This window comes from Homo sapiens, chromosome 4 (assembly GCF_000001405.40).
Source record: "Homo sapiens chromosome 4, GRCh38.p14 Primary Assembly".
In the NCBI taxonomy this organism is placed as follows: domain Eukaryota; kingdom Metazoa; phylum Chordata; class Mammalia; order Primates; family Hominidae; genus Homo; species Homo sapiens.
The window spans coordinates 16,919,754-16,933,609 of record NC_000004.12 but is presented as its reverse complement, the minus strand read 5'-3'; positions in this window follow the sequence as shown (position 1 = coordinate 16,933,609).

Genomic DNA, 13,856 nt, shown 5'->3' with positions numbered 1-13,856 from the left:
TGTAAATGCTGCCTGTGAGATCATTCTGCTCCCGCCTTCCCCGTTAAATTCCATTTTGCACGTGGCAGACTGAGTGATCTCAACTAAAATTCACTCAGATCGAGTTACTTTCCTGATTCATTGCTCTTAGGATAAAGTCTCCATTTTTCTTAACATAGCTTCTCATCTTCTCTTTCTAACTATCCCTTTCTTCTTCTTTTTTTTTTTTTTTTTTTTTTTTTTTTTGAGACGGAGTCTCGCTCTTTCACCCAGGCTGGAGTGCAGTGGCGCTATCTCGGCTCACCGTAATCTCCGCCTCCCAGGTTCAAGCAATTCTCCTGCTTCAGCCTCCCGAGTAGCTGGGACCACAGGCGCCCGCCACTACGCCTGGCTAATTTTTTGTTTTTTTAGTAGAGATGGGGTTTCGCCGTGTTAGCCAGGATGGTCTCAATCTCCTGACCTCATGATCCACCCCCCTCGGCCTCCCAAAGTACTAGGGTTACAGGCATAAGCCACCACGCTGGGCCCCCTTTCTTCTAACTTAGCTTACCCTCAGTTCTCAGCTTTCATGACATTTCCACTTCCCTGTATTCCTTCATCAGACAAGAAACTCCATGAGGAAAAGTCCTGTGTCTTATCTTCATCTCTGTGATTTCCTTAGACATGGTACTGTGCTGAGCATGTCAGATATATGAACATTGGTTTCAGTAATTCATAAGTTATCCCTTGAGTATAGATACAGAGACTGAGGCTCAGAGTTTACATGAAATGCAGATAAAGGCTGTGGACTTGCTAGCATTATTGCTATCCATAGCCTGTATTTATTGCCAAAACCGAACTATCTTTGCAACAACTCTTTGACGTGGGATCTTTTAGTATCCTCCTTTCCAGAAGAAGCAACTTAGGCACAAAGTGGGAGAGACTTGCCTGAGGTCATACTCCTCGTTAGTGGTAGAGCTGGAGATTGAGCCCACGCAGCCTGACTTCAGATGTCACAGTTTCAGCATAGCTCCATTTTCCCTGGATAGTTTGTGTCAAATATTCAGACCTGGTTTGGGGGCCAGGTATCAGAAAGTCATGCATCTTTATTTTTGTTTCTGAGTATAAAGTCCCTATGCACTGTAAAGAAATTGGCATTGCTCACATACCTTCTGCACAATGCTTTACTGGAGCCTAGATGACAAAGTTCAAATCTGACTTCATCTTCATTCAACATCATTTAGTGAGCACCTTTTATGCATCAGGTTCTATGGTAGACAGTAGGCATGCAGAGAAGATCAAACCAGGTCTTGGACTTAGGAGCTCACATTCTGATAAGGGAACGAGTCAAGCAAATGAAAATATTATAGTTCAATGTAATTGATACACTCATGGATTTATTTCCAAGGTAAAGAGCTGGTCCTGGGAGGGCTGGACTCATTTGCTTTGGGAAAAGGGAGCCACAAGAAAAACTGGCTGTTGAGCAGGAAAAGATGATGAAATAGTCCAGTGTTTTTCTTTTTTCTTTTATTATTTAATTCTAAGCAGTTTAGTAATGTCAAACAAAACAAAGAGGGCAGAGTACAAGCCAAAGAAAAGGGCTGGAGCCAGAAGATAATGGGATATCTATATCATGCTAGAGAGCCTGGATTTTGCCAAGGGGATGATATAATTACTGAAGGATTTAGTAAAGGAAGAGATACAAAGACTTTTGCTTTAGAAAGTCCACGTGGCTGGCCTCCTTACATTATAAAAAGCATATTATGTTTCTATTACATGCACATATGTGCATTTTGTGTATACATGCATTTTTGAGTGTTTATATTGATGTACACATACTCCTACTGTGAGTCAGTTGAACTGTATGATACTGCCATTTCTATTGGTTAAAAAATGGTCAAATATCACTATTTCCAACAGTCTGACCTGTAATTTATAGTATGGTAGAAGAATAGATTGTGAAATCAAAAACCCTAGGTGTGAATTTCACATTTTAGCTTGAGTTCCACAGAATCAGACTGACACAAGGACTCACGGTGAAGGAGTTTCTGGTGGGACGTGCCAGTTGAGGAAGAGACACAGAGAAGAAAATGCAGCCCACAAAGGGCGTGCTATCCAGCCAGCCACAACAGAAGCCAAAGGCAGTGGAAACTTACTCTCACTGGGCAGATGTGGAATTCAGTGTAGACGTGCATCTCAGAGGCAGCCCACCCAAGGGGAGGGGGCTGGGATATTTGCATAGTAACTTCCATTAGTAACTGGTTAAGAGCTGCTGCTAAGGACAGGCATAGTGGCCTTCAGAGCTCCAGAGAAAGTCCTTCCACTCCCTGTTAACTGGGTTTACATACTCCTGTTAGAAGTCTGCCGGGGTGCAATACAATGATGAGGCCTGAGGGATATGATCCCCCACACCCATCTCTATGACTTGCCAGCTAAATGGCCTTGACTTAGTTCCTTAATGCCTTTGAGGCTCATTTTTGTACTACCAAAATGGGGACCACAATACCTTCACCTGGGGAGGATTAACACACTTTATTGTTAATATACTACTAAGGTAATATATTTCTAGTGCATTAACACCAAAACAGATAGCAGTCTCAACATTTACAAAACAACTTTTCTTTTCTTCTAGACCTTCTCCTTACTGAGCCTTCATTTCTACTCCCAGAGAAGTCCAATAGGTAAGTCGTGCAAACCGATAACCTTGAACTCCACGAGATAAGCTCTTAGAATTGAAAAGTAACATATGCCTCTCTACGGTGTTCCTTTCAGTCAAATACAGCCCACTTATTGCTAATAATATTTCTGCTTCTTCATGCAAGGAGGATGTCAGTAGTGGGGTCACTTGTGTGGCCCATAGAGAAAGCTAGCGCTGTTTTCCATGGTGTCATACTAAGAATTCTGGATTGTGTCTGCAGCAAGAGAAGTTCAGATCTCAGGGGTGGCCAGCTGCTCTGCATTGATACCTAAGCAAAGGGGAATTGAGATTTTTCAGGGTGAACACAGAGAGTCCTGAATTACAGGTTCATACCTGGAGGAAAGACCAGGAAGGCATGCGTTTCCATCTTAAAATACCTCCCTTGCCAGTGTCTGAAATCCCACTTCTAGCAACCCATGTTTTGTGTGTTAGGTATTGCTGTCTCTCTCTCTCTCTCTAAATTGAACTATAATTATATACGGTGAAATGCACAGATCTTAAGCATAGAATCTGGTGAGTTTTGAAAAATGTATACACCTGTGTAACCAATAGCTTTACCAAGATAACAGAACATTTCTGTCACCCCAGAAAGGTCTCTGCTGCCTTTTATCATTCAACTTCCCCTGATAGCCATTCTTTTTAGTTTTATCCCCACAGATCAATTTTGCCTGATCTCAAAATTCTTATTAAAAATAACAAAATATGCATTCTTTTGTGTTTTGCATCTTTTGCTCAACACAATAATTTTAAGATTCATTTATGTTGTTTTGTATAACAGTAGTTTCTCCTTTGTTATTGCTGGGTGATATTCCATTGCATAGTATACCACCATTTGTTTATCTGTTTTCCTGGTGATGAACATTTGGATTATTTTCTTTATTTTATTCTATTTTATGCTATTACGAATAAAATTGACATGAATCTTCTTGTAAAAGTCCTTTTGTGGGCAAAGGTTTCATTTCCTTCAGCAAAATATCTTGGAATAATGCTCTATAAAAGAAGGTATACAAATGCCCAACAAACACCTGTAAGAATGTTCACCACCATTAATCATGTAAGAGATGTACATTTAAACCACTGTGAGATACCACTGCATCCTACTAGGATGGCTAAAGTTTACAAATATTCTCTTTGAACAGGCAAATGAATCTGGAAATAATATTCTTTTAAGTTTTTAATGTTTTTATTAGGAAACAAACACACAAAAATAGAAGAATAGTTTAATGAACCCTCATATATTCATTTCATAGATGCAACAATTACCAACATTTTGCCATAATTACCTTGTGTCATTTTTCAACAATAATCAATTATCCCATTCTCTGACACGAACTGGGTGGATGTCCTACAGTTCAATTCAATTCTGTCACTAATTAACTGGCATTAGTACAGACCCCACAAATCAAGGGCTCAGTCCCATAAGCCTGCCCCCACTTCAGATGCCAGCCTGAAAGGGGGTCCTCAGGACCTCTGCATTTCTGCCTGGCCAACTACAAAATTGGGAATTGTGAGGCTACTCTCCCTATCAAATTTGGTAATTATCTAGGATGACTCACAGAGTTCAGCAAAAGTGCCTTACTTATAATTACCATTTTATTATAACAAATACAGCTCAGGAACAGCCAAATGGAAGAGATGCATGGAGCAAAATATGGGGGTCATGGTTGGTGGGGGGCTTCTCAACCTGGAAGCTCCCTGAACCCCACAACTTAGAGGTTTTGTGCGGAGGTTTCATTACATGGTGTGATTGATTTAATCATTGGCCATTAGTGACTGACCTCAACTTCCACCTCCTCTCCCCTCCTCAGAGGTCCTGACATGGGGCTGAAAGTTCTAACCCTCGAATCACAAGGTTGGTGTCCCTGCTGGTGGCTAACCCCCATCCAGACGCTACCTAGGGCACCCCATAAGTCACTTCATCAGATAAACTTAGGTGAGGTTGAAAGGGACTTGTTATGAATAACAAAAGATAGTCCCCTATCACTCAGGAAATTCCAAGCAAATTTAGGAGCTCTGTGCCAGAAACAGAGGTGGGAGGAACAAAGACCAAATATTTATTTTTTTGTTATGCCACATATCCCAGTTATGTCTTATTTGCATATTTATTAGTTTTTAAAATTTTGCAGTAGTACTTAATTTAACTTAATTAATTAATTTAGAATTAGGGTCTCATTCTGTTGACCAAGCTGGAGTGCAGTGGCCGATCGTAGATCACTGTAATCTGAAACTTCAGGCCTCAAGTGATCCTCCCACCTCGGCCTCCCAAGCTCTGGGATTACAGATGTGAGTTACCATCCCTGGCCTGCTATAGTGTGTTTTAAAGAAAAACTTCTATATCAGGTTGTTTTATGCTTAAGTAAGGACATTTCATATATAAGCAAAACACTATTTTGTACTTAATGAACAATAATATCATCTAATACCCTCTCCATACTTAGATTTCCCAAATCATCTCAAAAATGTCTTTATAATTGATTGACACATTGCATTTGGTTGTAACATATGGTTTTCTCTTTTATCTAGAAGAGCCCCTAGCTTATCCCCTTCCTTTTTTCCCATGCCATTGAATTATTACAGAAACCACATCAACTGTCTGTAAAATCCACGCTGTGATTGTCTCCTAATAGTACAATTTCTCTGGTGCCTTCATCAATGTCTTTTCTTTTTTTAAAAAAAAATTTTTAACTTTTATTTTAAATTTAGGCGTACATGTGCAGGCTTGTTACATAGGTAAACTTGTGTCATGGGGGTTTGTTGTACAGATTATTTCATCACCCAGGTATTAAGCCTAGTACCCATTAGTTATTTCTCCCGATCCTCCCCCTCCTCCCAACCTCCACCCTCTGAGAAGCCCCAGTGTGTGTTGTTTCCCTCTATGTGCTGATGTCATCTTTTATTTAAACAAGAAGATAGATCTAAAAGATTCAGGTTCTCGTTTTTAGAGCAAGAATACTTCATAGGCGGTTTCATTTATTTTGATGGGTATTTTTTGAGTGTCTACCATGTTTTCAGTGCTGAGAGTTACAAAGGTAAATTCCATATATCAAAGCCTTGTTGTTAAAGATGTTATCCCAGTTGGTGAGAAAGGCATGTAAGCCAATCAATATCATAATATAAATGCCATGGAGGATTTGGGTGGGGGATATAAATTCTGATAGGGGCACCAAGGCTACATGAGAAAGTGATAAATGAACCGGCTCTAGAGAAAACAGTAAGGTTTGCCAGTCAAAGGAGAGAGAGTGGGGAATTTGCTAAGCCAAGGACCTGTGTGTCTACAGGAGATGCATAATTTCACCAGAACAGGTTGTTGAGGTCTTACAGAAAAGTGGAAGAATTTGGACTTTATCTTTTGAGCACTGGCAAGTATGGAAAGAATTTTATCTGAGGGTGGGCGCTGGGTGGGATTGTCAGCCTGGAGTGCAGTGTTCAGCACCTGAGTGTGAATAGATTTACCAAGAATTGCCCTCTCATCTCGAGGCAGACTCCACAAGTCCTGTTTTAATTTCTTACGATGTGGCCCCAGACAAAAGCTGACATTTAGCATGTTAAATGCCCCATGCCATGTTTATTGTGCCCCTTGCCCCATCAAGTGGCCTTTGTAACCATGGAAACAGTTCAGGTTTTCAATCTAGCAGAAGATAAAGAACGGGCATATAGTGTTGAGCGGACTATGCAGACAACATTAACTCCCTTTTCCTAGACTGCTCGATGATGCTAAGCAAGTTGTAGTGGCAGCAGCCAAGGGATAGTCCTGCCACCTGATGTCCACCCAGTAGCTGACTTCTGCAGCCTGTATATTATGTTAATGATTGGAGGAGGCATCATGGCACCTGCTCAGAGGAATCAGTGAATAAATGGCAGGCTCCCAGTTCTGGAAAACTGTAAAAATGACTCAAATAAAGAAACTAGTTGGGCTGCTCTGCCTATGGACTAGCAATTCTTTTGTTTCTCTACTTCTCTAATAAACTTGCTTCCACTTTACTCAGAAAGAAAGAAGAAAGAGAAAGCAAGCAGGAAGGAAGGAAGGAAGGAAAGGAGGAAGGGAGGGAGGGAGAGAGAGAGAGGGAGGGAGGGAGAGAGGGAGGGAGAGAGAAAGAAAGAAAGAAAGAAAGAAAGAAAGAAAGAAAGAAAGAAAGAGAGAGAGAAAGAAAGAAAGAAAGAAAAAGAAAGAAAAGAAAGAGAAACTAAGTAGGTGGAAGTGCTAGAGCAGGGACAAGAAAATTGTCACTGCAAAGCCAAAGGCCCCCCGATTTACTCTTCCTGGCTGCACTCAGAGGCTGGAGGCCAGGTGTGAGATCATCACAAAACACTGATTTCCAGCCCTTCTCATGTCCAATCCTGTCAGGTGGAGTGGGGGACTTTAGCACTATTTTTCAAAACCCCCAGGTGATTCAAACACAATTGGGTTTGCAAACAACTGAGCTAACCCAAGCAAAGGAAAAGTCAACCAAGTCAATCCAGATGGGCAGGAAGGGGATGAGCTAAATCTAAGACCAGGCACTAAACTTCTCAGCAGCCTAGCAAGGGTGCACAGAGGAAACCTCCCTACTTTGAAGAATCCCTTTGATGTGTCTAATACATAATTAGAGAGATACCACTGCTTCAACGGTAAAGAGATCCTACACAGCAAAGCTGCTGAGAAAGAACAAATTAAATTCAGTGTTGCCCAGCACTGGTGTGTAGAACAGATGGAAAGGGCAGCACCCAGCTGCACCTTGCTGGAGAGGGAGGCATCCACACCTGTAAGCCCTCTGCTACCTATTCTCCTGTAGTCTTTAGGGGAGAGCTGTGAGTATACATTCAGAAGTTGCTTGGGAATTTTAGCAGGCAACAAAGACCATGTACTGTGGGTGAAAGCAAATTATTAAATAACAAAAAAACAATCCAAGCTGCAATCTACCAGGTTTCTAGGGCACTCAGTGTAACATGGGAGTTCTGTTGGACCCTACTGAAGCAATAGGTGTGTTGCTTTCCTTAAAGACGGACGACACCATGTCCTAATATTATGAACTCCAACTTTTTTTTTTTCCTGTAAACTCTTACCAACTCTATCACTCAGCACCTGAAGCTTCAAATAATTGACTTGTGGAAATGAAGACATAAACAGAATTTAGCTTCTTCTGCTCCAAATCACATGCACCCATAGCCTTAATTCCTTCTTATGGAGCTCTTGGTACACATTTGAGTCCAAGCTTCTAAGTTTATCGATAAACTGAGTGTCTGCAAAAGCAATTGTTTGTGAAATATCAAGAGTTGTAGATAACAATTATAAAGGCCAGTAAAATTCAAATGTAAAACAATCAATCAGCAAATATTAAACACCTAGTGTATATTTTTCTACTTTTTCCCCCATGGCAAATTTCACTATCTAACTTACTAATAATTCACTCATTTATTAAGCATATTGTTTGTCTTTCTCCTCTTGCGCTAGGACGTAGGCTTGTTTGCGTGTTGAAGATTGTCCCAAGTCCTAGCTCAGTGCCCTGTGTGTAGTCACTCAGAACTACTTATTGGATGAATTCATGAATAAAAGTTAAACAGGTTCTGGATTTCAGGTTCTGGATTTCCATGAACAAAATGAGCTAAGCCTTGATTTATAAATCCAAATTATAATTTCTGGCTTAATGCAACCCCTTTTGTATTAATAGGAAACACCAGAAGTTAGCTGAACATTGGGTGGTTGGTAGGTCCTGTCAGGGAGCAAATGAACATCAGCAGTCAGCATGGTTAGAAAAGAAAGCAAACTAGTCCGATGCTCTTGAAGGCTATTTTCATCTAGTAGAGATGTTGGGATGCTGCAAACTTTTTTTTTTTCCACTTTGGGATTTTTCTGTTTAGATCATTGGAATCATTTTACTTCATTTGCAAACAACTGAGTGAAGGTATTGTGATGTGTGACCATTAGGATAACAATTTTAGAATCAGAGATGCAGAGATTGACTTTAGACTGTAGATTGTAGGGAGGAAAGATTTCTTTCCTCACCCCTCTGTAGGTTCATGGCTGAGGCACCTGTAACAAAAGACAGATTAACAAGAGAAAAACATATAAATTTATTTCACAATGCAAACAAATAGTTTTCCTTTGCTACTCTGAATCTGGAAAGAAAAGGACAAGAAGCTTTTACCTTCCTTTCCCCACTGGAAACTACAGACAGTGGGGAGTGTCTGTAGTATCCAGGAGTTTTTAACGTTCCTCACCCCACTGGGAACTACAGACAGTAGGGAGTGTCTGTAGTATCCAGGAGTGCTGACCTTGGGAAGAATTCTTCCCTTTTTTTTTGGCATTTTGTTCATTGTCCCGGGATCTCATCTGCAGGATTAAAAGTGACCAGAAAAGTCTCAGCTGTTCTACCTGGGGTGTGAGGAACAAACTCGGGGGAGGCAGAAGAAATATCTTTCTTTACTATCACAGGGTTCATGGCTGGGGTCCCTATAACAAAAGACAGATTAGCAAGAGAAAATCATATACATTTATTTAATGTAAGTTTTACATGACATGGAAGCCTTCAGAAATAAAGACCCAAGGAACAGGAAATCTGTATGTTTTTATGCTAAGTTTGATGAAGTGGATAGTTGTAGAGAAGTGTGATTGGACAATAGGGGTATAATCTAATGGTAATAAACCAGGGGAAACTTAACAAAGCTTGTTTATACAGACTCTTCTCTGTGTCCTTGTGTCTTAGAGATAAGGACATTTCTTTCCTCTGGGTATAGGGAGGGTACCTCTGAGATGAGGGTCCTATGACCTGCTTTGGAGGAAGGTCAGAGAATTCTTTTATAATCTGTAGCAGAAGACACGGGCAGGGGAAGGCCAGAGAGACCTTCCTGCTTCTGCTGTTTTCTCAAATGCCAAGGTGCCATATTTTGGGGTAGCATCCTAAATCCCATCAAGACTGTAACCTCCTAAACAGCAGAGACCCATTTTTGGTAGGCCTACCACACAGAGGGCACTTCCATATACAGTTGTCAAGACAAACCTCATAACTTGCCCCCAGTTTATAAATAGAAGGGTCAAGATTTGAAACCAAGTTCATTCCCTTTCCACTGTCCAGGAGGATAATCATCAGGACGGCTGGAATTTTCTGAGTGTTGTCTTTGTAGCAGCCAGTTCCAAACACCTTATATTTCAAGTTTGTGGGGAGAAGGAATTTGAATCCAGCCTGTCTCTCTTCAGAGTCAAGACTCTTTATTGTTAAAGTTGTATTTTAGTGTCCCTGAGATTGGTTTTTATGCATAGAAAACACTATTTAGAAGTTGTATTTGGGTCTAAACAACTAGTATTCAATGCATCAAAGTTACAGATTCATGAAACCTAGCTCTTTCCTAGGATTTTAGCTTCATTTTGAAGTTTTTGCTTTACTTATAAATCTAGCAAATGTTAGCAATTTTTTGTTTATTTTTGTTAGCAATCTTTTTGTTGATCAGTTGACATTTTTTATTATTTTATTTTGAAAAATGTCAGACATACACAGAATGAATAACATAATAAACCCACATGTATCCATCATTCAGTTTCAATGATTATCAGTCAACTAATGGACAGTTTCTTCCATCCATACTTCTACTCACTTCCCTTTCTCTTATTATTAGAAAGCTAATTGGCATTATCCTATCATTTCACACATAAATACTTTAATATGTATGTAAGAAAGACAAGAACTCATAAAAACATAGCCCCTATTTTATTACTTTACATAAAATAGCAGTCAATTTTCAATATCAAGTTTACAGTGTTACTCAATTTTTCAATTGTTTCGTAAATGTCACTCTTGTAAAAACATTTTATTTGTTTGCATGAGAATTCAAATAAGATCCATATATTGTGATTGTTTAATAGGTATTTTAAATTTATTTTAATCTATAGGTTGTTTCTTCTCTCTCTCTATCTCTCTTTGCTACAATTTGTTTATTGAAGAAAATGGGTTATTTGTCCACAGTCCTTTCTTTACAGGAATAATAAAATTTATATTTTGCATAATTATTTAATTGCATTATTTCACAATACACACACAATAGTCTCTGAATGACAGCATCAACTTTGCCATAAACAATAGGAAGATTTTTGAAAGTTTACATATTTGAGGGACAGTTCTTTTTGTCCTTAGTGTGTATCCTACCCACCAGGGATAAATAGTCAAATTATTGTGACTTACAGTCATTCGGAATTATTTTTCTTTTTGTGGATTTGACACAAACTATATATACAGTGAAATTCATCTGTTTCATTTTACTTTTTATTAGTAATAATAGATTTTTAAATTTAATTTGTTTTAAACATATGTAAATTTTTGGCATAGTTCCCAAGACAATCAAAAAACAAAGCCAAATCTTAAAAAATAGACCCCAAATAGGTGACTATTTTCTTTTTATTTTAGGGCTTATTCTTTAATTATTTGCTTTTTATTAATATAAGCAAGTATATGCATATATCAGACTCCCTTTATTTAAGAAAACACAGTATTCACACTTTTCTTACCTTGCTTTTTAAATATAACAATTGATCCTATTACTCTATAGTATATATTGATAGAGCTATTCCTTATTTTTTATATAAATCTGCATGTGATTACATTGTGTGAATGTGCCAGGGTTTATTTGACCAATCTTCTTCTGATGGACACTTCGGTCATTTCCATGTTTTTGCTATTATAAGTAATGCTGCAATAAACAGCCTTGATGCTATTCCTTTTCCTCCCTCCCTCCCTCCCTCCCTCCCTTCCTTCCTTCCTTCCTTTATAAGTAATCCTGCAATAAATAGCTTTGATACTATTCTTTTCCCTCCCTCCCTCCCTCCTTCCCTCCCTCCCTCCCTCCCTTCCTTCCTTCCTTGCTTTTAGCTAGGGTATTTGTAAAATATATTCCTAGAAATTGGATCGAATCGAAATTTAAATGCACATATCTACCTATCTATCTATATTTATATATATAGATATTGACAAATTCTCTTCTGTAAGAGTTTTACAACTTTGCATTTCTAGCAGCAATATATGAAAGTGTCTACTCGCCTAAAGTCAAACCTATAGAATTTTTGCCAAATTAATAAGAAAGCTTGGATTTTGCTACTTAATGAATGAGAAATGGTATCCTAATCTGAAGTAGATTTCTTTAATTATAAATTGAGCATGTCTACAAAAGTAATCATATAATTTTTCTCTTTTGGTTTATTAATATGGTGCCTTATACAAATACAACCTCTGATATTGAACCACCTTTGCATTCCTCAAAAACAAAAGTATCCATGGTTACAATGTTTATTTTAGTTTTTTTTTTTTTTTTTTTTTTTTTTTTTCCTGAGATGGAGTCTCACTCTGTTGCTCAGGCTGGAGTGCAATGGCGCTATCTCAGCTCACTGCAAGCTCTGCCTCCCGGGTTCACACCATTCTCCTGCCTCAGCCTCCCGAGTAGCTGGGACCACAGGTGCCAGCCACCACACCCGGCTAATTTTTTTTTGTATTTTTAGTAGAGACAGGGTTTCACCGTGTTAGCCAGGATGGTCTCGATCTTCTGACCTCATGATCCGCCCACCTCCGCCTCCCAAAGTGCTGGGATTACAGGCGTGAGCCACCATGCCCGGCCTATTTTAATTTTTTTAATACTTTTCTTTTAAGGTTAGGATTGTTTATTTCTTTAATGCGCTATTGGGTTATGTTTGCTAATATTTTATTAAAGATTTTTGCATAAATATTCAGTAGTGTGAATGGTCTGTATGTAGTTTTCTTTTTTGACACAATTTTGTCAACTTATACCAATGTTATATTCACTTTATAAATCCATTTAGAATTTCTCCTTATTTTTATCATTTATTCTTTAATATCATATGAAAAATGCATATTCATTGAGAAGCCCTTTTAGCATTCCAATGAACTGAGGTTGCCTATCTACTAAGGAAGGCAGGTAACATCTCAGTTAACTGTATAAAAGAGACTGTCGCCGGGTGCGGTGGCTCATGCCTGTAATCTCAACACTTTGGGAGGCCAAGGCGGACGGATCAAGAGGTCAGGAAATCGAGACCATCCTGGCTAACAGAGTGAAACCCCGTTTTTACTAAAAATACAAAAAATTAGCCGGGCGTGGTGGCAGGCGTCTGTAGTCCCAGCTACTTGGGAGGCTGAGGCAGGAGAATGGCGTGAACCCGGAAGGCGGAGCTTGCAGTGAGCGGAGGTCACGCCATTGCACTCCAGCCTCGTCAACAGAGAGACTCCATTTCAAATAAATAAATAAATAAAAATAAAGACTTTGTCTATGAATGAGGCTTAATGCTGCAGACAACTGGTCAGACTCTCAGAGCTATTTTTCCTCATTACAGAAGATTGGATGGCACATAGCATATGCTCAAAGATGTTCGATATTATGATAAGATGACAAAAGGAACATAAGCCTGATGAAAATCATGAATCCTAAATTAAAATCAGTACATGTGGTCTGGCAACAGGATACGATATTTGAAACTGGGACTATCCCAGAAACCCCCAGATGTACAGTTATGGCTCCTATAGACTCCCTAATGTTTAATTGAAGTTAACCATTTGTCCACATGAAAAGAGAGGAGGAAAGAAATGAACTAACCCTGAGAGTATTTACTATGTGTGAAGCTATATCCTAAGGGCTTTTCTCCCTTGATCTTATTTAATCCAAACTAAGAACCCTTAAGAGTAGTTATTAGTTATTATCACTAGATTCAGGTGAAGAAACTAAAGCTTAGCATAGTTCAAGTAACTTTTTAAAAGTAATTGTCAAATTCATGAGATAAGAAAGTGACAGAAAGGAAACCAAAAAGAAACTGGGACTGTTGGTTACAGAACCTACTTTTAACTACTACACAAGGAATCTTTTCTTTTCTGAGTTTATTAGGGGTAGTATACCTTAGTAGCAAAAAGTTAAAAAAATAAAAATAAGACAAAAAGAAATGAAAATAGTATGAAATTTCACCTTTTGAGAAAATGTTTCAAATGCCTTCTTCCAGGACATTTCTTGTCTAAATTCATTCATATAAATATGCACATATAAATGTTTATGTGTGTGTGTGTATATATATATATATATATATATACACACACACATATATATTTTAGCAAAGATGGGCAAAAAAGCTATAAATACACGTAGAATTTTGTTAACTTTTTAAAAAAATTGTAGAATTTTCAAGTTTTCAAGATTCTGCTTTTTAAATTTTAATAACACAATTTCCCTTCTTGCTCAG